The sequence below is a fragment of the Homo sapiens genome, chromosome 3 (assembly GCF_000001405.40).
Source record: "Homo sapiens chromosome 3, GRCh38.p14 Primary Assembly".
Taxonomy (NCBI): Eukaryota; Metazoa; Chordata; class Mammalia; order Primates; family Hominidae; genus Homo; species Homo sapiens.
Genome location: NC_000003.12, coordinates 184,662,334 through 184,683,315, shown reverse-complemented (window position 1 = coordinate 184,683,315; position 20,982 = coordinate 184,662,334). Strand labels below are relative to the sequence as shown.

The window sequence follows — 20,982 nt, the reverse complement described above, 5'->3', positions numbered from 1 at the left end:
TCCTCCTGGCTCCCCTCCACTGATTTAACAAGTAAGTTACTTTAACCTTTCTAAGCCTCAGCTTCTTCATCTGCAGAATGGGGTTAATCTAATTTACCTCGCCGAGTTGTGATAAGGATTAAAGATACTATACGTAAAGTGCCAGATGTTCAGGAAAGGTGTCCAGGTAGGCATTCAGGAAAGTTGGTTATCATTAAAGTAGCACAAAACACATGTAAAATGCTAAAGGGACAGCATATAAAGCACAGGGTCAGAGCATTGAGGGGTGAAGGAGCAACTGGTTCTTCTGGCGCAGGAATTCTCAACCCTTGCTATGCATTAGATTACCTGGAGCCCTTTAAACTATGCTGATGCCCAGGTCCCAACCTGACCAATTAAACTCACCCTGACTCCGATTAAGAATGGAGTCCGGCTGGGCGCAGTGGCTCACGCCTGTAATCCCTTCGGGAGGCCAAGGCGGGCGCATCACCTGAGGTCGGGAGTTCGAGACAAGCCTGACCAACATGGAGAAACCATGTCTCTACTAAAAATACACAATTAGCCAGGCATAGTGGTGCATGCCTGTAATCCTGACTACTCAGAAGACTGAGGCAGGAGAATTGCTTGAACCCAGGAGGTGGAGGTTGCAGTGAGCCAAGATCACGCCATTGCACTACAGCCTGCGCAACATGAGCAAAACTTTGTCTCAAAAAAAAAAAAAAAAGAGTCCACTCACGCCTGTAATCCCAGCACTTTGGGAGGCCGAGACGAGTGGATCACCTTAAGTCAGGAGTTCAAGACCAGCCTGACCAATATGGTGAAACCCCATCTTTCTAAAAATACAAAAATTAGCTGGGCATGGTGGTGTGCACCTGTAGTCCCAGCTATTTGGGAGGCTGAGACAGGAGAATTGCTTGAACCCTGGAGGTGGAGGTTGCAGTGAGCTGAGATCGCACCACTACACTCCAGCCTGGGCAACAGAGACAGACTCCCTCTCAAAAAACAAACAAACAAACAGAAAAAGAATGGAGTCCAGGCCTGGGCATATATATATATATTTTGTTGTTGTTGTTGTTGTTTGTTTGTTGTGTTTTTTTGTTGTTTTTTAATAGAAAACTTCCCAGGTGATTTCTGGGTGCATCCAAGGAGAACCAGTGCTCTAAAAAGTGTTTTGAAATGTGATTTGGAAAGGACAAGGAAGGAAACCAACACGTATTGAGTTAACTGCTCTCTGCTAGTAGATTTCACAGCTGTTGGCTTATCTCTTTCTCCTAGTAATCATCTGAAGCAGGTACTTTTAATCCCATTTGGAACAAAAGGAAATAGAGGTTTGGAAAGGTTACATACCAAATAGCACCGAAAGGGAAATCTGCCCACAACCCAGCCCAGGTACTTTCACTGCATGGTGCTCCAGAGCAGGCTGGCTGGTAGACATTACTGCAAGCCAACATGGGAGCCACATGGGTAATTTCACACATTCTAGTAGCCACATTTAAAATGTAAAAAGAAACAGGGGAAATTCATTTTAATAATATATTCTATTTAATCAAATATATCCATATTATTTTAACATGTAATCAATATAAAAATTATAAGCATTACTAATGAGATAGTTTACATTTCTTTTTTTTTTTTTTTTTTTGAGATAGAGTCTTACTCAGGCTGGAGTGCAGTGGCATGATCTTGGCTCACTGCAACCTCTGCCTCCCAGGTGTTCAAGTGATTCTCCTGCCTCAGTCTCCCGAGTAGCTGGGATCACAGGCGCCTGCCATCATGCCCAGCTAATTTTTGTATTTTTAGTAGAGATGGGGTTTCACCATGTTGGCCAGGCTGGCCTCAAACTCCTGACCTCAGGTGATCCACCCACCTTGGCCTCCCAAAGTGCTGTGATTACAGGTGTGAGCCACCGCGCCCAGCCTACATTACTTTTTTCATGCTGAATCTTCATTATCTGGGTGTATATCTTACAGCACATCTCAATTGGGATTGGCCACAAGTGCTCCATAGTCATGGGTGGTTGGTGGCTGCCATATTGGACTGTCTAAAGGGACGGGTGACCTGGAGCATCTTGAGCAGATAATAAGAGCAGGTGGTGGGGGCTGAGGACTTTCAGGCAGTAGGGAATAACCGCGGGTTCTTGAGTGAGAGAGTATCCTGGCACAGCGCTCTCACGCTGTGGAGTTTGGAGGCTGCCAAGGAGCTAGAACAAGAAGTTCAAGGACAATGAGAGATCGAAGGAGGAAACCCCAGCAGATGACCAGCCCCACAAGTAGGACTGGGAGCCTTGGCCCTTGCCCTCACCTGAGACTGGAGGAGACCCCAGACGGGGACTGTAAGTATGAATTTACCTCCATGGGGAGGTAGGCAGGTCACCTTGGCAGGCCCTGGTTGGGAGAAGGCTGTTGAGGACCCAGGGGCTGTTTTACGGTTCCTTTGGCTCCCCATTCACGGAAGCAGACTCACACCAGATCCCTCCTGCCTGCTCCCCCCACCACTCCTGCAGCCCATAAAGGGTAATGAAGCTGAAGTTAAAACAGTCACATGAAACCCACTCATTTGAAAGGGCACCTGCTTTAAAGGCCAAATTTCCTGAGCCCAGGTTTATACATTAAGCTACAGAAAGACCTAATTAATTCAGACCCCACTCACTCTGAATTTGGGATAAATTCTGCCTCGGGCTGGTCTGAAGTCTTTCCTTTTGCACTATCTATGAAGAAATGGTTTGCTAAGCAAATAAATAGTGCAGGCCAGATTACAGAGACAGGTCTGGCTTACTTAACTGTTTTTAAGAACTTTAAAAATCACTTTAGCAGCCTCATTCCCAGAAAGTTAATGAGATCATTACAGCTGGTCCTTATCTATTTATTTCAGCATTTCAGTTTTCCAAGCACCTTTATACCCATTAGTTAATGTGACCTGGGGTGGGGAATCCTGTTATTTCTCAGCTTCCAGCAACAGACTTAGTGCCTGGCACACAGTTGGTACTTAATGTTTGCTAAATGAAGGAAGTAGGCCTGGTAAACAATACTAGTCCCATCTTACAGATGAGAAAAAATGAGGCTCAGAGAAGTTAGTTATAATATATTCTGTCCTGGCCACAATGGCTTTGGGGTGTCCCTAGAGCTAGACCAGCCACATAGCTAGTTAGTGATGATATCAGAGCTTGAACCAATGCTGGTTGCGGGTTTCTCTCCACTCTATTACATGTTACCAGGGCTGCTGCTTGACAGCAGTTTATTATCTGAGTTTGAGGAACAGTCTGTTCTTAGGGACCACAACAAAAAAGTCCCATTTTTTTTTTTTTTTTTTTTTTTTTTTGAGACGGAGTCTCGCTCTGTCGCCCAGGCTGGAGTGCAGTGGCGCGATCATCTCGGCTCACTGCAAGCTCTGTCTCCCGGATTCACGTCATTCTCCTGCCTCAGCCTCCCGAGTAGCTGGGACTACAGGGGCCCGCCACCACGCCCGGCTAATTTTTTGTATTTTTTAGTAGAGATGGGGTTTCACTGTGTTAGCCAGGATGGTCTCGATCTCCTGACCTTGTGATCCGCCTTCCAGAGTGCTGGGATTACAGGTGTGAGCCACTGCGCCCGGCCCATTTTTCTTTTGTAAATTGCATTTTCCCCAGGGAAAGGAATCACTGCGTTCTGGAATGTGTGCCTCCGCACTAATCAGCAACAATCCCCTTCTGTGCAGCACCTGACTCTGACACAGGCCTCCTGACACCCGTGGCCCTTGGGATGTCAGGGCCAGTACAGGTCACTTTCCTCCCTGGGGTGGAAGAAATGGGGGCTGCTGCAAATCTATCTGGTCCTGGCTCCTCCGGGGAGTGCTTCCCGAGGCACAGGCCTCCCAGGAAGGATGGTCTTTGTCCTCTGGGTATACCCTTCCCCCACATCAGGGGAGCAGCCTCTGTGGGCTGGGTCTTTCTTGCCACTTATGGGGGGATAGGAAGAGGCCGGTCTCTGTCTCTCTGCCCTTTGTTCTGGAGGCTTGGCTGACTTGGAACACTGCGCAGGGAAAATTCCCTGACCGTGAGATCTGCAGGCTGCAGGGTCCCTGGGGAAGGCTGGCCAGGGGCTCTTTCGAGCTGCAGCTGGAAAGAGGGGTTGGGTTTCAGCGAGCCGGGCTCGGGGACGGCAGCCCGCCTCCCTGGCGGTAAGGGAGCTGGCCCGGCGAGCCAGCTGTGCCTGACAGCTTCCTGTCGAGAGCTGAGGGCCCACATGACCGCTCCCCACTTTGTGGATTAGGGGGCGAAAGGCCCAAGAGGGAGGGAGAGCAGGAGGGGCACTCAGGTGCTCTCTGGCCCAGCTGGGGATGGGGTGAGAAGCAGAGCACCAAAACATTTTTTGTGAAATGAATTCTGCGGGCTCCCGGTCACACGGTCCAGCAAGCTGGCTCGCCCTGGAGAGGGGGTGTGGGGCTGGGGATGCGGTGAGCCTTGGCACTGACTGGGGCCATGGACTGTTTGTTTAAAGTCCCCCTCCCTGCAACCTGACTACACACATCCCCACAGTGTCTGCCAGAGAGGCAATGTGGTAGCCACAGCGCTATGTGTTGAAGAGGAGATGGGATCTGGCCGTGACGCGGGAAAGAACCCAGGCCTGGATTAAAGGGCAGTGCACGCTCTGACCACCCTGGTCTCTCCCGAACTGGACCCCCTGAGCCAAGGGCAGCTGAGGCCAGAGAACTGGGCCTCCCACTGAAGCCGTCCTGACCAGGGATGCCAGGCCTGGCCTAGAGATGCCCCGTTCTGTCCAACAAGCGTTTATTGAGCACCTACTGTATATGGAAGTGTGCACAGAGATAAGTCAAACACAGCCCTGTCTTAAGGAGATACGCTTGAGATGATAAGCTCTGAGTATGACAGGGTGCAGTGCAGGCACACAGAGAAGCTTGGCACCCCAGGGTGCAGCCTTGGGGTTCACAGAGGGCTTCCTGGAGTCAATGATGCCTCAGAGGGAGGAGGAGGCCAGCAGGGCGGTGAAGTCCCTAAGGACCCAGTTTAGCAGTGGGTTTCTGGGGACAGTTGCAGATCCCCACCTCATAGGCAGACCTGTGCACACCTGCCCTGCCATCACCACGTAAGAGTGGCCTAGAACCCCAAAGGTCTCCGGTGAGGAACAGCAAACTGGGCACAGGCCTTGCCGGGGTTTCTGGGTCAGCTGAGCTCACTTCCCCTGTCCCTGGTCCACACACCTTGAGAATGATGCAATAGATGTCAGGGAGAAGGAGGGGGTGCCGTGCAGCCCACCAGGTGTGGGCCTTCCCCTTCACTGACCTCTAAACAAGACCCCACAGCCCTGGGGCAAAAGCCCCGGGCACCGACACTTCACTAATATCTGAGCTTTTGTGCTGTTGAACACCAAGGAGCCTTGGCCTCCTCCCTGGAGGGATTTCTGGTGCAGCTATCGGCCCTGTAGGTGATTTTTGTTCCAGCTCTATCTCTATTGTTTACATAGCTCAGAGTTCCATGGAGTGAGAGAAACATGCTTTCCTTTCCACTAAAGGTGCTATGAAAAACAGCCGGTCTGTGGAGGGGCAGGAGGGAAGGCCGTGTGTGCTGTTCGGCCCCTCATTCTGACAGGCTCTTCTGGTCTCCAGAGTCCTCTCTGTCCAGGATACCTGTTTGTCACGCTCTCCCTGGAGCTGGCTCAGCTGGAGGCTCTGGGACTCGGAAGGAGCCCCCATTCTAGAACTCTCACTGGGAGTTCTGGCTCTACGAATGGAGTTGTCCCTGCATGGAGTCCTACAGGCCTGGATGCCACCAAAAGAGGGGGCAGTGGAATGCTACTCCCCCTCTAATCTGGCCACCAACTGCCACCTTATCTGCAGGCCCTGACAAGGGTGACAGAAGCTGATGCCTGGATGTCCAGCAGGCAGGACGATGGGAGAGCGGAGGGGGCAGATGGTAGAGAAGGAGGCAAAAAGCAGCCCCACTCACCCTGGGGAGGGACCGAAATCTCCTGCTTTAAAGCCAGCAGGTTCCGCCTCTGGGTATTCTCTCCAGCACCATTTTTCCTTCTTCACTACAGAGATTTTATTTCTCTCTTGCTTGGTTTGAGAACTGTCCTGATGCAGCGGGCAGATGTCTGAGTACTTGAGGGCTCCGGTGATGACTCCTCAGGGTCTCCGCCTGAAGACTTGGTTCAAAGCTCCCAGCCCTCTAGCAGACCTCACCCCTGCCTCTTACCGTTTCCTCTTTCCTTCCTCCTGCAACTTCCCCTTTCTCTGCCTGCATGCAGCCCCTGTGTCTCCAGCACATTCTCCTTTGGGTCTCCGCGTCTTTGGCACTCACGTTCTGCATGTTACTTATCCTGTCCATCGGCCAACAAGCAATGGGTCATGTCACTTTACTTCCCTGGTTTTCATGTCTATGAAATGGTAAAAGTCATGGATGGTGGTGGGTTGTCTGGTGGTCTTGAGAGTCCCTGCAAGACCTTCTACCCTAAGATTTGAAGTATTTACTTATTGATGCCCTGATGCCTGAGCGGGCATTATGGAAAAAAAAAAAAAGAGGCTGCCCAATACCAGCCTGACCAACATGGAGAAAACCCGTGTCTACTAAAAATGCAAAATTAGCTGGGCATGGTGGCACATGCCTGTAATCCCAGCTACTCAGGAGGCTGAGGCAGGAGAATCGCTTGAACCCGGGAGGTGGAGGTTGCAGTGAGCTGAGATTGCACCACTGCACTTCAGCCCGGGCAACAAGAGCGAAACTCTGTCTCAAAAAAAAAAAAAAAAAAAGAGGCTGCCCAATATGTGCACTGGGACTCTCTACCCTTCTTCATTCGAGGCCAGCCTAGGGCTGAGGAGTGATCCCTTTACAGATTCAAGCTGCCACAGGTCAAATGATAGAATGGCGTGCAGCAGGATGGGGAAGCCCAGTGGGAAACGGGGCAGCAGGATGGGCTGGAACAAGCCTTCAGCCCTACCTCTCTCCTTTGACTACTCCAAATATTCTTGACTTCTGAAAAATTCCCAAATGTTTCCGAGCCAAGAATCCCCCAAAGGAGTGGCTCAGTGTCTGGGGTTACAGAGACTTTGTTACTGCAGCAAAGCATACTACAACCCATTTACTGGTTTAATTTAATTATTTATGATAACACTTCAGAGTAAAAACTACACTTGTCAAAATAAAGGGGACTTTGTGCTGCAGTGACCCAGATTTTATTGTTGCATTACCTAATGCACCGAAACCTGGTAATCGGCACCAGATCTCCCTGCCACTTGGGCAAATCAGCACTGAATGAGGAAGGCTGAAATGGATTACTGCTTCCTGGGGGAATTATTTTCAACGATTCAAACAAAATGGCATTTTGATTTTCTTCCTCCCACTCTAGTTGCATCCCCTTTCCCCCAAATAACCTGGTTTCTACACATATATTTGACTGTTTGCCGTTACCTCTGTGCCCTTAGATCACCTCCCTTTCTTTGCACATACAGTTTCTTCTGCCTAGGATGCCTTCTCCACCACTCACTAGACAAATCATTCCTAACCATGTCGGCACAACAGATTCCCCCATGCATTTGAGAAGAAATTCAGATTTGGCCAGGCACGGTGGCTCACGCCTGTAATCCCAGTATTTTGGGAGGCTGAGGTGAGTGGATTACCTGAGGTCAGGAGTTCAAGACCAGCCTGGCCAACATGGGGAAACCCCGTCTCTACTGAAAATACAAAAATTAGCTGGGCATGATGGTGCATGCCTGTAATCCCAGCTACTTGGGAGGCTGAGACAGGAGAATCGCTTGAACCCAGGGGTCAGAGGTTGCAGTGAGCTGAGATTGTACCACTGCACTCCAGCCTGGGTGACAGAGTGAGACTCTGTCTCAAAAAATAAATAAATAAATAAAAGAAACCCCGCCTCTACTGAAAATACAAAAATTAGCTGGGCATGCTGTCGCGCGCCTGTAATCCCAGCTACTCAGGAGACTGAGGCAGAAGAATTGCTTGAACCCAGGAGGCGGAAGTTGCAGTGAGCTGAGATTGCACCACTGCACTCCAGCCTGGGCGACAGAGCAAAACTCTATCTAAAAAAAAAAAAAAAAAAGAGAGAGATAGAAATTCAGATTCCCGGGAGCCACACTGAAGAACTCCCACCGAGCTTAAATCTTGCCTCTCTATGAAGCCACCCCTGGGGTCCATGCCCTGTCCAGCACTTTCTCCTCCGTGGCTCACCAGCCCTCTGCCCTTTCCCCGACAGCTTCTACTCCTTGACCATAAGTCCTCTGAGGGCAGGGTCTTTCTCTTTTACCTCTGTATCCTCAGCAAGCATAGTGTCTGCCCACGTGGAAGTTCAATAAAAGGTGGCCGGTTGCATGTTGGGCAGTATTTTGAGGAATTAAGACTTTGCTGGAGTTATTCATACTAAGGTCAGAGCACCAACTTCTGTCCTCACCCAGACCCTGAGCCCCTCTCCTTCCCACCTGGAACCTGCAGGTCCACATTCTTCCTTGGGCAGAAATGGCCTTTTTTTTTTTTGGTTGAAAGACCTTTGAGGGTGAGAAATTCCCGGCTACACTGTGTGATGGGGCTTAGGGAGATGTGGATTCACAGCAGGGTACAATGGGCATGTAATCTGGCCTCACCATTCACAGCAAGCCTGTCAGGACCAGCTTCAGATGCTTACTCCTTATTAATGGCCCTCCCCTGAGTCCCAAGGCTAACAGGTTCTCTCAATACCCTACTGCCTCCCTCAGCTCCTGACACTCCATTATTCACAGCAGTGACCGTGGTGATGACAGCCTAGGTGACCCATGGCAAAATCTAGTGATAAGTAAGGAAGGGAAATTCACCTGTGGAAGGCCCCATCCACCCATCCATCCATCCACCCATCCATCCATCCACCCATCCATCCATCCACCCATCCATCCATCCACCCATCCATCCATCCATCCATCCACCCACCCATCCATCCACCCACCCACCCATCCATCCATCCATCCATCCACATAGTCATTTATTGCTAAGTCAGGAGGACACACACACACACACACACACACACACACACACACACACGACAAAGGAGACCTGGTCTCTGCAATTAAGGTGCTTACAATCTAGTTGGGGAGACAGATAGGAGTTACAATTCCAGTGCCCCAATCTCCATCCTCAACAACTCCATCTGTAGTAATTTCCCAGCGTTGGTGCTTTACGTTCACAAAGCACTTCCCGTCTGAGCTGGGGGTCCTCCCAAGGAGAGGAGGAGCACTCCCCAGTTTTGCCATCTCTAAAACCAAGTTGGAAAAGGTGGGCTCTGGGGTCCCTTCCTGCTCCAGTCCAGGTGGGTTTCTTTAGGAAGAACTCCTGGTACAGGAACTTCTTGGGACCCACAGTCTGCAAACTGATGGCTTCCTGGAGGTGTTTCCTAAGCAGCCAGGACTTTTCAAAGAAGACCTGATAAGCCATGAGGTCAGAGACCTTGGGGCTACTCAAACCGATTGCTGCATGCTAGAATTGCTTGAGGGCCTGAGGGGAAGAAATGGCAGTGCCTGGAACCCAACTGAATCAGTAGTTCCTAAAAGTTCCTCTGGTGACCCCAGTGTGCAGCCGGGGTTGAGAGCTGTGGACCTAACAAACTCTTCTATGCTTGAGGGGTCTGAAGCCAGGAGAGGCGTAACTTGAGTAGAGACACATGTAGAAAGTGCAAAGCTCAGAGCACAGATGCAGCACAGCTGAGGCCCTGTTTCCCATGCTGCTGGCTGCTTCTCCATGTCTTGTGAAAGCTTAGTCCTTTCTCACCCCACTTCCAAAGACGACCAGGCCCTGCTGGCCCTGGAGATCCTGCTCTGTCCCCATTCTGAGGACAGTGGCTAGAGCTGCTCCTGACCCCTTGATGTGTCCTTTCCTAATGTCCAGAGGAAGAGGGACAGGTGGGTGGCAGTTGAGGCAGGCCTGGGCCTTGAGTCCAGGGAGCGGCTTTTGCCAGAGAAGATGGTGATCATTTGATTTAAACAAACGGGGCTTGTTCCTGGAAGACGTTTGTCTGCACGGGGCAGCAGCGCCATTCATCATGGCAGCTCTGAGGCTGGGGGCAAGAAGTCAGCTTTTCAGGGCCCCGGCCCACAGGGAGGAGCTTGGGGGCTGCTCTCCCAGGACCAGCCCCGAGAAGATGTTAGGAAAGCTAATGAGCAATGGGACAGCTGCAGCTTGTTACAGAGCGCCCGGGGCCCATTGTAACTGAGACCTTTAAATATACATTGTAGTCAAATAACCAGCATCCTCCCGCCCAACTGCAGGTCCACCAGGGCCAAGCTGGTCCACGCCCGGCCCACCCAGCTCCTCCCTCCTAGCCTCATCCTTCTGTCTGAGGGAGAAAAACCACTCTCCCACCCTCTTTGACTGGAAAGGAATCGATTATGACTGCAAGAGCTGGGTGTAGCCAGGTTCTCTGACCATCCTCACTCTTACTTCCCTCTAAATGGACACAACTGTAGCTCCATCACTGCCCTTGTCACCCTACCTAAGTCCCACTGGATTTCAGAAAATCAGCATGGCACTGTGGGTCTTTGGAGAACCTCTATAGGACGTATCTCCCACCAAGTCAGAACCTCCTGAAGCCACTGACAGCCAGCCTAAAATGCCTGTTCCGTGGTCCTCCACTCATATGCCTCCTCCAAAGCCCACTTCGGAGATTACCAACTCTGTCGAGCCTTCCCCGGCTTACCAAGGCAGAGCTGGTGGCCTGTCCCCTACACTGAATAAGTGTGTGGGTCATACCTCTTAGCCCAGGTGAAGCCGGGGGCCTGTGTGAGCTCCTTGAGAACAGGGACCAGTTTATATTCCCGTCTGATCCCCAGAGGCCAGCAGGTGCATGACACCTCGAAGACCTCAGGAAATGTGTGCGAAATGGACTCCTGTACTCCATCCATCCCATCCTTAATGGACGCATCCATCCAACACGTGGTAAGTGGGCTCTGCACAAAGGGAACTCTCACCCAGCAGCACACAGTGCTGGGAGCCAGGACCCCAGGTGAGAAGCCACTGGTTGTCCTCAGGGTCATGTCTGTAGGAGAGGTATTTTAGGTCGATTTCTAGGGAAGGAATCCTGAGCAGCGATGTCTAATTTGAAAGTGGAGTAGTAGAGGCAGGAAGAGAAGGCAGGGTTATGAAGCAGAAGGTAGCACTGCTTCTCAACAGAGCATCTGCCCTCACCAGTGAGCCTCCATTTACCACTGTACTCCACTACATCCTGGGGTACTCACCTGCCACGGTGTGCCCCACTTCATCATGGGGTACCTCAGCTCCCCACACTGTACCCCACTTCATCATGGAGCACCTCAGCTCCCCACACCATACTCCATCATGGGTAGCTCAGCTTCCCACACCGTACCCTACTTCATCATGGGCCTCCTCAGCTCCCCAACCATGCCCCACTTCATCATGGGGTACCTCATCTCCCCACACTGTACCCAACTTCATCATGGGGCACCTCAGCTCCCCATACCATACTCCATCATGGGTACCTCAGCTCCCCACACTGTACCCCACTTCATCATGGAGCACCTCAGCTCCCCACACCATACTCCATCATGGGTAGCTCAGCTTCCCACACCATACCCCATTTCATCATGGGGCACCTCAGTTCCCCACACCATACTCCATCATGGGTACCTCAGCTCCCCACACCATACCCCACTTCATCATGGGGCACCTCAGCTCCCCACACCATACACCATCATGGGTACCTCAGCTCCCCACACCGTACACCATTTCATCATGGGGCACCTCAGCTCCCCACACCATACCCCACTTCATCATGGAGCGCCTCAGCTCCCCACACCATATGCCATCATGGGTACCTCAGCTCTCCACACTGTACCCCACTTCATCATGGGGCACCTCAGCTCCCCACACCATACTCCATCATGGGTACCTCAGCTCCCCACACCTTACCCTACTTCATCATGGGCCTCCTCAGCTCCCCAACCATGCCCCACTTCATCATGGGGTACCTCATCTCCCCACACTGTACCCAACTTCATCATGGGGCACCTCAGCTCCCCACACCATACTCCATCATGGGTACCTCAGCTCCCCACACTGTACCCCACTTCATCATGGGGCACCTCAGCTCCCCACACCATACGCCATCATGGGTGCCTCAGCTCCCCACACTGTACCCCACTTCATCATGGGGCACCTCAGCTCCCCACACCATGCCCCACTTCATCATGGGGTACCTCAGCTCCCCACACCATACCCCACTTCATCATGGAGCACCTCAGCTCCCCACACCATACTCCATTCATCATGGGCACCTCAGCTCCCCACACTGTTCCCCATTTCATCATGGGGCATCTCAGCTCCCCACACTGTACCCCACTTCATCATGGGGTAGCTCAGCTCCCCACAGTGTACCCCCTTCATCCCAGGGTACCTCAGCTCCCCACACCATACCCCACTTCATTATGGGGTACCTCAGCTCCCCACACCATACTCCATTCATCATGGGCACCTCCGCTCCCCACACCATTCCCCACTTCATCACGGAGTACCTCAGCTCCCCACTGTGTACCCCCTTCATCCCAGGGTACCTCAGCTGCCCACACCATACCCCACTTCATCATGGGGTAGCTCAGCTCCCCACACCATACCCCCACTTCATCATGGGGTACCTCAGCTCCCCACAGTGTACCTCCTTCATCCCAGGGTACCTCAGCTTCCCACACCATACCCCACTTCATCATGGGGTAGCTCAGCTCCCCACACCATACCCCCACTTCATCATGGGGTAGCTCAGCTCCCCACACTGTACCCCCACTTCATCATGAAGTACCTCAGCTCCCTACACCGTACCCCACTTCATCCCAGGGTCGCTCAGCTCCCCACAGTGTACCCCAATTCATCCCAGGGCCGCTCAGCTCCCCACGGTGTACCTCACTGCATTGCAGTGCCAGTCAGCATACCACCTCATACTTCAGCATAAGTGCCTGAGAGGTGCCGTGTCCGGCGTGTGGCATGCTCTGTGAGGCTGTGCCGTGGGCAGCAGAGGAGGTCTGTCTCTAAGCCTGCTGGTTGGGAGAGGAAGAGAGGAGAGATGAGGGACCTCCGAGCAAGTGGACAGTAGGAATTTCTCTGCTGCAGATAAGAGTCTTTCCCGTCACCTGTACCAGCCCCAATGATATGGGCCAGGTGTCAGACCTCACTGATGTGGACATCCCAAACCAAGTGGTTGTGCACACGCATGTATTTGTGCATGTGAGAGAGAGAGAGAATGTGTGTGTGTGTGTGTGTGTGTGTGTGTGTGTGTGTGTGTGTGTGTGTGTGAAATGACATCCCCTGAACATTGGTTAGTTTGTACAGGCATTGTGCTGGGTGTTTTATAAACATCAACACATTCCATCTTTATCAACTCCTAGGGGGATGGTATAATTGAATCCATTTTACAGGTAGGGAAACTTGAGACTTATCCAGGATCACTTAGCTTATAAATTGTGGAGCTGGAATTTGAACACTGCTTTCTCCGACTCAAAAGTCTGTTACCCCGTGTCATAGATAGCCCAAAGATCATTATCTTGCTTGTGCTGACAGTGGGGAAGGCAGCACAAATCAGATGCAGCCAGGCCTGCCGGCCTCTGGTTAAAATTGGTTACAGGCATTCTGCCCCAGGGATAATTCAGAGGAGTCGAAGTTGACCGGCTCTCCCTGTATACCAGGCTTAGTACGGAGAGGCTTCACCTCCCTAAGGCGACCAGCAGCAAGTTGACTTCTCCAGGCAGCAGGCAGACTTCCTGCACACCTCACACAGGTGTGTAGTGTCCAGGTGCCTTCCTCCCCAGCCAAACCGGGCTCCTCCCAAGCCTGGACACCAAGTCAGCCCCTTCAGCCCCTCCCCACACCCCCGTGGCCTTGACCTGCCATTGGGTTTGCAATGAAGGCCCAAGTCCAGTCCCTCCTGCCATCTTTTGCATCCCTGCTTCCTGGCCTTAGAACCCCACAGAAGCAAAGTGCATGAGGTTCAGGGTCATGCTGTCGAAGACCTCCTCTCTCTTCCCCTGGCTCCTTCAACACTTGCAACATTAGATAGTTCAGAGCACGGACTGGTCTTCTATAGCTAAGAAAACTCTGCAGAATCTAGCACAGTGCCTGGTACACAGGGCTGATGATGCATCTGTGTAAGTTGCTTATAATATAGAGGCTGTCAGCCAAGTGGCCAGGTAGGGGTTGAACTCCCCCCTCCCACAGAGATATTGTTTGCTAGCTAAGCCCTGCACCCAGGAGACTGTATCTGCCTGGGAAAGAGGTAGTGTTTGTTCTCTGATTCACGCAAAGGCGCTATGTGTATGCTGGTGCTGAAGTACTGTACCTCGTTGAACAAACGAATGGTGAATAAGTCCAACCTATTCTCTAAACCTTAGCCATAGCAGGTGGGGATAGACCTGGGCGCTTGGGCTCACTCCCGTTCCCTCCTCCACTTCTATTTCTGTATCTCCCTTTCCCATCTTCACTCTGTGCTCTGGGTAGATAGGGTTCTGTTTTTTTGAGATGGAGTTTCGCTCTTGTCGCCCAGACTGGAGTGCAGTGGCACTATCTCTGCTCACTGAAACCTCCGCCTCCTGGGTTCAAGCGATTCTCATGCCTCAGCCTCCAGAGTAGCTGGGATTACAGGCGTCCGCCATCACGCCCCATTATTTGTTGTATTTTTAGTAGAGACAGGGTTTTGCCATGTTGGTCTCGAACTCCTGACCTCAGGTGATCCACCCACCTCAGTCCCCCAAAGTGCTGGGATTACAGGCATGAACCACTGCTCTTAGCCAAAAAGTGTTCTTTACACATTTCCAAAACCATCCCTGTTGGGACACTCAGGGACGGTCCTGCCATCCAGGAAGACTTCCTTCCCCACTTCTCCCCTACTTCTCTGGGAAGTGGGGTAATTCTTTCTACTTACCTATTTATTTTTAATTTGTTTAAATTATGATTAAAGTATACATAATATACAACTGACTATCTTAGCCACTAAGTTATAGATTGTTGTGCAACCGTCATCACAATGTCTCCAGAACTTTCATTTTCCAGACTGAAACTCTGTACCTGTTCAACAATAACTTCCTATTCTTCCTTCCCTCAGTCGCTGGCAACCACCATTCTGCTGTTTCCATGAGTCTGACTGTTTTAGATACCTCATATAAATGGAATCATACAGTATTTGTCTTTTTGTGGCTGGCTTATTTCCCTTGGCGTAATGTCCTCGAGGTTCATCCACGTTGGGGCATGTGTCAGAATTCCCTTCCTTCTTACGGCTGAATAATATTCCATTGTGTATATGTGCTACATTTTGGTGATCCATTCATCTATCGATGGGTGCTTGGGTTGCGTCCACCGTTTGTCTATTGTGAATAACGCCGCTGTGAACATGGGTCTTCCCTGTTTCTTAACATCCTCTCTATCTTTTTCTTTACTTGTTCCTTCCCCTCTGACTGGAAACCCACACGATAAACAACCTCAAAGCCTAGATTTGCCAGGACAATCCCACTTTCATAATTCTTTTTTTCTGTTGTCTCTACAATCCACAGAAAAGTCCTAGAAATTCCAATAAATTTTCTCCTTCTTTGCCTTTTATTTATTTATTTATTTATTTTTTTGAGGTGGAGTCTTGCTCTGTCACCCAGGGTGGAGCGCAGTGGTGCAATTTCAGCTCACTGCAACGTTGGCCTTCCGGGTTCAAGTGATTCTTCTGCCTCAGCCTCCCCAGAAACTGGGATTACAGGTGTGTGCCACCGCGCCCGGCAATTTTTTTATTTTTTATTTTTTATTTTTAGTAGAGACGGGGTTTCACCGTGTTGGCCAGGCTGGTCTCGAACTCCTGACCTCAAATGATCCACCCACCTCGGCCTCCCAAAGTGCTGGGATTACAGGCATGAGCCACTGCACCCAGCCCTTCTTTGTCTTATATTCAGAAAAGGCACAAAAGTCCTTTATAAGATCCTGATTTTTGATGCAGGAAATTTTATCACTTTCAAAAGTCCCTCCCACATTAAATTAAGAATAAACATCCCTACCTGGCCTGGCTGCCTCCGGAACCGCCTCTGCCCTTCCATGTCCTGCCAGCTCTCTCTCCGAGTGTTCCACGCACTTCTTCTGCTTCCTCACCCCCTGCTACTTTCTTAATGCCCTGCAATCTGGCTTGTCGGTACAGCTCTACTGAATCCACTCCTGCCAAGGTCACCAATGACTTCTTTTTTAAACAAGTTTCAATTGTTCTATTTCTTGGTTATCAAATAAATGCTCATTGTAGGAAATTTGGCAAGTGCAGAGCAGCCCATAGGAGCAGGAAAAGGATCAGGCATGCATCCTCACACCACCCAGAGGCAACCATCATGAGCATTCTGCTATATTTCCCTCCAGTCTTTTTTCTCAATGCCAAACGTTGTCTTATTTTTCACCATCCTCATCTTTCCTGATCCCTGTAGCACTTAATGCTATTGAATATTTACTTCCTGAAACTCCCTCCTCCAGCCTCCTTCTCTGGTTTCCGTTCCTATCCCACCAGCCATTTCTTTTGTGAGCTGCCCTCTAACTGAGCCTTGCCAGGATGTAGACGGTGCCTGAGTTGAGTTTCCACAGGGGTACCAGGACCCTCCCTGAACGCCAAGTAATAACCTCGGGCACGTCCTTATCAGAAGGCAGGAATAGAGCTCAGGTGATGCACCCCAGCCAGCAAATCTCAAAGTAAACAACAGTCGAGTGCTCCCATCCTCTTCTGTGTATGACAAACTCCCGTGATGCTTCACGTCACTTCTTCTGTAAGGTTTCATCCGACTGCCCCCGGCAGGGTTGGTCACTGTATCCTCTGATTCTCCTCATTTCCTCTCAGTGTGGTGCTGTTCATCTTTCTATTGCAGAAATAACTGCATTGACTTACAGCAATCTGTTTCTTTGGCTGTGTCCCTCTCTAGACTGTCAGCTTCCTAAAGGCAGGGACCCTCTATTATTGATCCTTACATTTCCTAAACCCAGGGGAAAGCTCACTGGCCAGTTTTGAGTCCCAGAAGCAAGAGGTGACTTACCCAAGTTCACAAGGCCACACGCAGGCTGAGAAACCACCACAGCCCGGTGAGACTCCTGGTCCTGAGTTTGTTCTTTCTTTCTTTTTTTTTCTTTTTCTGAGACGGAGTCTCGCTCTCACTCTCTTGCCCAGTCTGGAGTGCAATGGCACGATCTCAGCTCACTGCAACCTCCACCTCCCAGGTTCAAGCAATTCTCCTGCCTCAGCCTCCCAAGTAGCTGGGATTACAGGCACTCATGACCATGCCTAGCTAATTTTTTGTTTTTTTAGTAGAGATGGGGGTTTCACCATGTTGGCCAGGCTGGTCTTGAACTCCTGACCTCAGGTAATCCACCCACCTCAGCCTCCCAAAGTGCTGGAATTACAGCATAGCCACCGCGCCCAGCTGAATTCTTCCTATAACACCATGTAGGAGCCACAGATACGCAGCATTAAGAGGAAGGGTTTTGGTGTGGCCAGCACGAATCTCCAGGCCTCCACATGCACAGGAACACTGCGGGACTGTGAGGAAGGTGAGGGAAAGCAGAGGCCCCGCCGGGTCTGTACCTGTGCCTGATGCTGGGAGTGGGGGCAGGCTGTCCCCACACTCAACTCACCAAGAGCAGCATTTCTCTATGACTCACTCAAGCTTCCCAGATTGGGACTCAAGAATCCCCACTCTGAAATTTCATCCAGGAAGCACTTCCTTAAACATAACCCACCCTCTCTCTTCCAACCATTTGAGCCAGATAAATAGGGGAGGCCCCAGGTCCTACCTGCTACATGAAAGGCAGACAGAGAGTTGAGGGAGGGGGTGCACAGCTCTGGTTAGGAGATCAGCGGGGAGTTATGAAGAAGAGTCATCGGCGTCCAGTCCTCAAGGATGGGTAGGATTTGACATGAAAACAAATGCAAGAAGGAAACAGCACGAGCCAAAGCCTGGCCGTGAATTGGCCTGGGGAGCTGGAATACAGCTAGTCAGTCAGCAGCCTCCTGGGGCAACCCTCCTATGCTCTAAGGACATTCTCAGAATGACTCCCGGGTCCCTCCCTAAACTCCCTTCCCATAGATAAGAGCTATGCTGGGCCCTGGGCAGTGGGAGAACAAGACAAGGATTTCCAAAACGTTGACTGAACACCTGGGGTGTGGCGGCAGGAGCTTTAACACACCAACATGTAGGCAGCTCCAGCAACCATATGCGGGTGTGCAGAGGGCGGTGCGGGGATGGAAGGCAGAACAAACCCTTCTGCCCTTTATTAGTTCCCTGACTGTGGGCGAGTCTCTGAGTCTCTGTTTCCTCATCAGTAAAATGGGGATTATAATACTTACCCTGGGAAATCGTTGTAAGGATTAGAATGCCACAAACGTAGGCCAGGCATGGTGGCTCACCCCTGTAATCCCTGCACTTTGGGAGGCTGAGGCCAGCGGATCACGAGGTCAAGAGATCGAGACCATCCTGGCTTAACAGGGTGAAACCCTGTCTCTACTAAAAATACAAAAAAATTAATCAGGCATGGTGGCGGGTGCCTGTAGTCCCAGCTACTCGGGAGGCTGAGGCAGGAGAAGTGTGAACCCAGCAGGCAGAGCTTGCAGTGAGCCGAGATCGCGCCACTGCACTCCAGCCTGGGTGACAGAGTGAGACTCCGTCTCAAAAAAAAAAAAAAAAAAAAAAAAGAATGCCACAAAGGTAATAGGTACTCAGTAAAGAACAGCAACCTCACTACTGTTCCTGTTTTGAGAACGACCCTTTCACACGTAAACAACCCTGGGGAAATAACGCAGTCCCTGGAGGGGCTCGTTCAGGTTTCCCTGCCCGCACCCTCGCCCTTGGACTCCAGCCTTCTTCTGTCACTTCTGCTTTTGCTCTAATGAGGTAGAATCAGAAGATCTGGGATCTTATTCCATTTGGCTATGTGACTTTAAGCAAATAATTTCAACTCTTGTTTTCAACTCTTGTTGAACACTTGTAAAAACGGAGCTAGTGTCTCCTGCCCCATGGGCTTGTTGGGGGGATTCATGATGTTGGTGTGTTAAAGCCCCTGCCACCACTCCCCAGGTGTTCAGTCAACGTTTTGGAAATCCTTGTCTTCTTCTCCCACCTCCCAGGGCTCAGTATGGGGTCCAGGGCTGGGCTGCAGGTCTGAGTTGCTGGGTGGTGGAGTGGGGTGGGGTAGAGGCAGGGCCCAGAGATGAATGCGCAAATAACCAGCCATCCTGGTCTCGCTTCAAAAGTCCTGGTCTCCAACCCTTTAATCATGGAGCTGCTCTTCCCTGGCCACCTTCCAGGGCCCCGCCCGCCTGCTTCCCATGCAGAGAGAGCCCATGGAGGGAGCCTGCATCTTTTCAGCCCGCCTGCTTTGCGTGGCTTGCTCGCTAATCGATCCCAGGAACCCAAGATGCTGACTCTCTCAGCTGACTCACCCCATACCTCAAATCCCTCACCCCACGTGGCTCCCCCCGCCTCATAGGCTTGCCTCTGGGCTCCCCACCGTCACCACCCTCTCTGACCAGCTTGCCCTCTGACCAGGCCTGCCAGGGTAGAAAATGGGTTTGACAGGACAGCATCCTCCTCTTCCGGGTGACCTTATTGTACCAACCAAAACATCAGTCCCCAAGGCCCCAAGTTCCAAGTGTTCTTATGGGACAATGGAAACCTAATATTAGAAAGTGAGCCAGTCTCAGAAAATCCTGGACATGTGTTTGCCATGTTGGTTTCCAGCCCCGCTCACTGCCGGCGAACCTCTCTTTATGAAAGGCGGAGTGTTCCTTTGGGATCAGGAGTGAGAAGTATATTGGGGGTGGGGGTCGGGAGGAGGGTTGTATATGAAATCACATTTGGCAACTTGAATTGTATTTTAATGCACTAATAGAGTTGGCTTCTTGAAGAAAAGAACCAGTGATTCATTTTCGTATGGGAATGAATTCATATGGGAAAGAGCTCCAATAGAAGGAGCTATTTTTAGATTTGGGTATATTGGATTTGCTTAAACTGAGGCACACCGGTATTCAGTTTGCAACCCTTTCATGTGAGGTTTCCTTCTCTGAGTTTCCTTGGTACTAGAATTCAACTGCCGGTTCTGTGATTTGCACTCCTCCCTAATGGAGATGAGGTGTGGGTGGCATGGCACAGTGGATGGCACCTGGCCACTGACACCAGCGGGCCTGTGTTTGCATCTCTGCCCCACTATGTCCCAGCCAGGTGACCTTACTTCCACTACCTGATGGACTGCTGAGCTGGGATGGGGGAATACGGGGAGACACGGGGTGGGAAGTAGGGGGCAATATGCTCCCCTAATAGATCAGGTGGGATGATTAAATTAGGTCATAGGAGAGACAAGACCATAAGATTCCCTCCCCGCAGGACTCTGCCTTCAGAAGTTCTTAAGAAATAACATCTGCCAGCCGAAGGAGCACATCTGCCTGTTCCCCCCAGCACACCGTCGGGCCCCGCTAACCTGCGCACAGCTTCCCTTTGTAAATCATCTTCAACCAGGGCTCCCCTTATCCCAGCGGAGCTCCCCCCTCCTGAGTTCTGAGCTCTGGCAGACAATGAAACCACAAGATTAAGGCAGACCGAGGCACCTTTTCCATGAGAATCCCCGCTGATCACCACCTCCCTGCACCCAGGCATAGCTAGCCCAAGGCACTCTCAGAAGTCGCAGAATCCTAGAATCCCAGGGCCGGAGTGCTCTTAGAAAACCTTATGCCTCCAGCTCCTTGTGGTGCAAATAGAGAAACTGAGGCCAGAGGGGCATCCCTTCCTCAAGGCCCCAGGGCTGGTTAGTGGCAGAACCAGCAGGAGGGCAAGACTCCTGTGAGATGCAGTTTGTCCTCTCTCACTCCCTTTTCCCCCTGGAGGGCTGGCTGCAGGTCTGGCCGCCCTCAGAGCCTGCATTCTGCCCAGGCGAGGACGAGGACAGTGTCCTTCATTAGTCCACGCCCAGAGCTCTGAGTAAGTGGTGTTGGCTGATGGCTGACAACATTCTTCACAAAGGAAGAAGATTTTAAAAGAGCCCTG

General features: G+C 51.1%; 5 annotated features.

The window, feature by feature from the left end:
- Positions 4,158–4,663: an enhancer, noted in NCBI's record as "H3K4me1 hESC enhancer chr3:184396441-184396946 (GRCh37/hg19 assembly coordinates)". NCBI's record gives its function as "activates a minimal SCP1, AML or CMV promoter by ChIP-STARR-seq in naive H9 embryonic stem cells {active_cell/tissue: H9 hESC(naive)}" and the evidence as "EXISTENCE:reporter gene assay evidence [ECO:0000049][PMID:30033119]".
- Positions 4,664–5,168: an enhancer, noted in NCBI's record as "H3K4me1 hESC enhancer chr3:184395936-184396440 (GRCh37/hg19 assembly coordinates)". NCBI's record gives its function as "activates a minimal SCP1, AML or CMV promoter by ChIP-STARR-seq in naive H9 embryonic stem cells {active_cell/tissue: H9 hESC(naive)}" and the evidence as "EXISTENCE:reporter gene assay evidence [ECO:0000049][PMID:30033119]".
- Positions 10,028–10,529: an enhancer, noted in NCBI's record as "H3K4me1 hESC enhancer chr3:184390575-184391076 (GRCh37/hg19 assembly coordinates)". NCBI's record gives its function as "activates a minimal SCP1, AML or CMV promoter by ChIP-STARR-seq in naive H9 embryonic stem cells {active_cell/tissue: H9 hESC(naive)}" and the evidence as "EXISTENCE:reporter gene assay evidence [ECO:0000049][PMID:30033119]".
- Positions 18,829–19,329: an enhancer, noted in NCBI's record as "H3K4me1 hESC enhancer chr3:184381775-184382275 (GRCh37/hg19 assembly coordinates)". NCBI's record gives its function as "activates a minimal SCP1, AML or CMV promoter by ChIP-STARR-seq in naive H9 embryonic stem cells {active_cell/tissue: H9 hESC(naive)}" and the evidence as "EXISTENCE:reporter gene assay evidence [ECO:0000049][PMID:30033119]".
- Positions 19,330–19,830: an enhancer, noted in NCBI's record as "H3K4me1 hESC enhancer chr3:184381274-184381774 (GRCh37/hg19 assembly coordinates)". NCBI's record gives its function as "activates a minimal SCP1, AML or CMV promoter by ChIP-STARR-seq in naive H9 embryonic stem cells {active_cell/tissue: H9 hESC(naive)}" and the evidence as "EXISTENCE:reporter gene assay evidence [ECO:0000049][PMID:30033119]".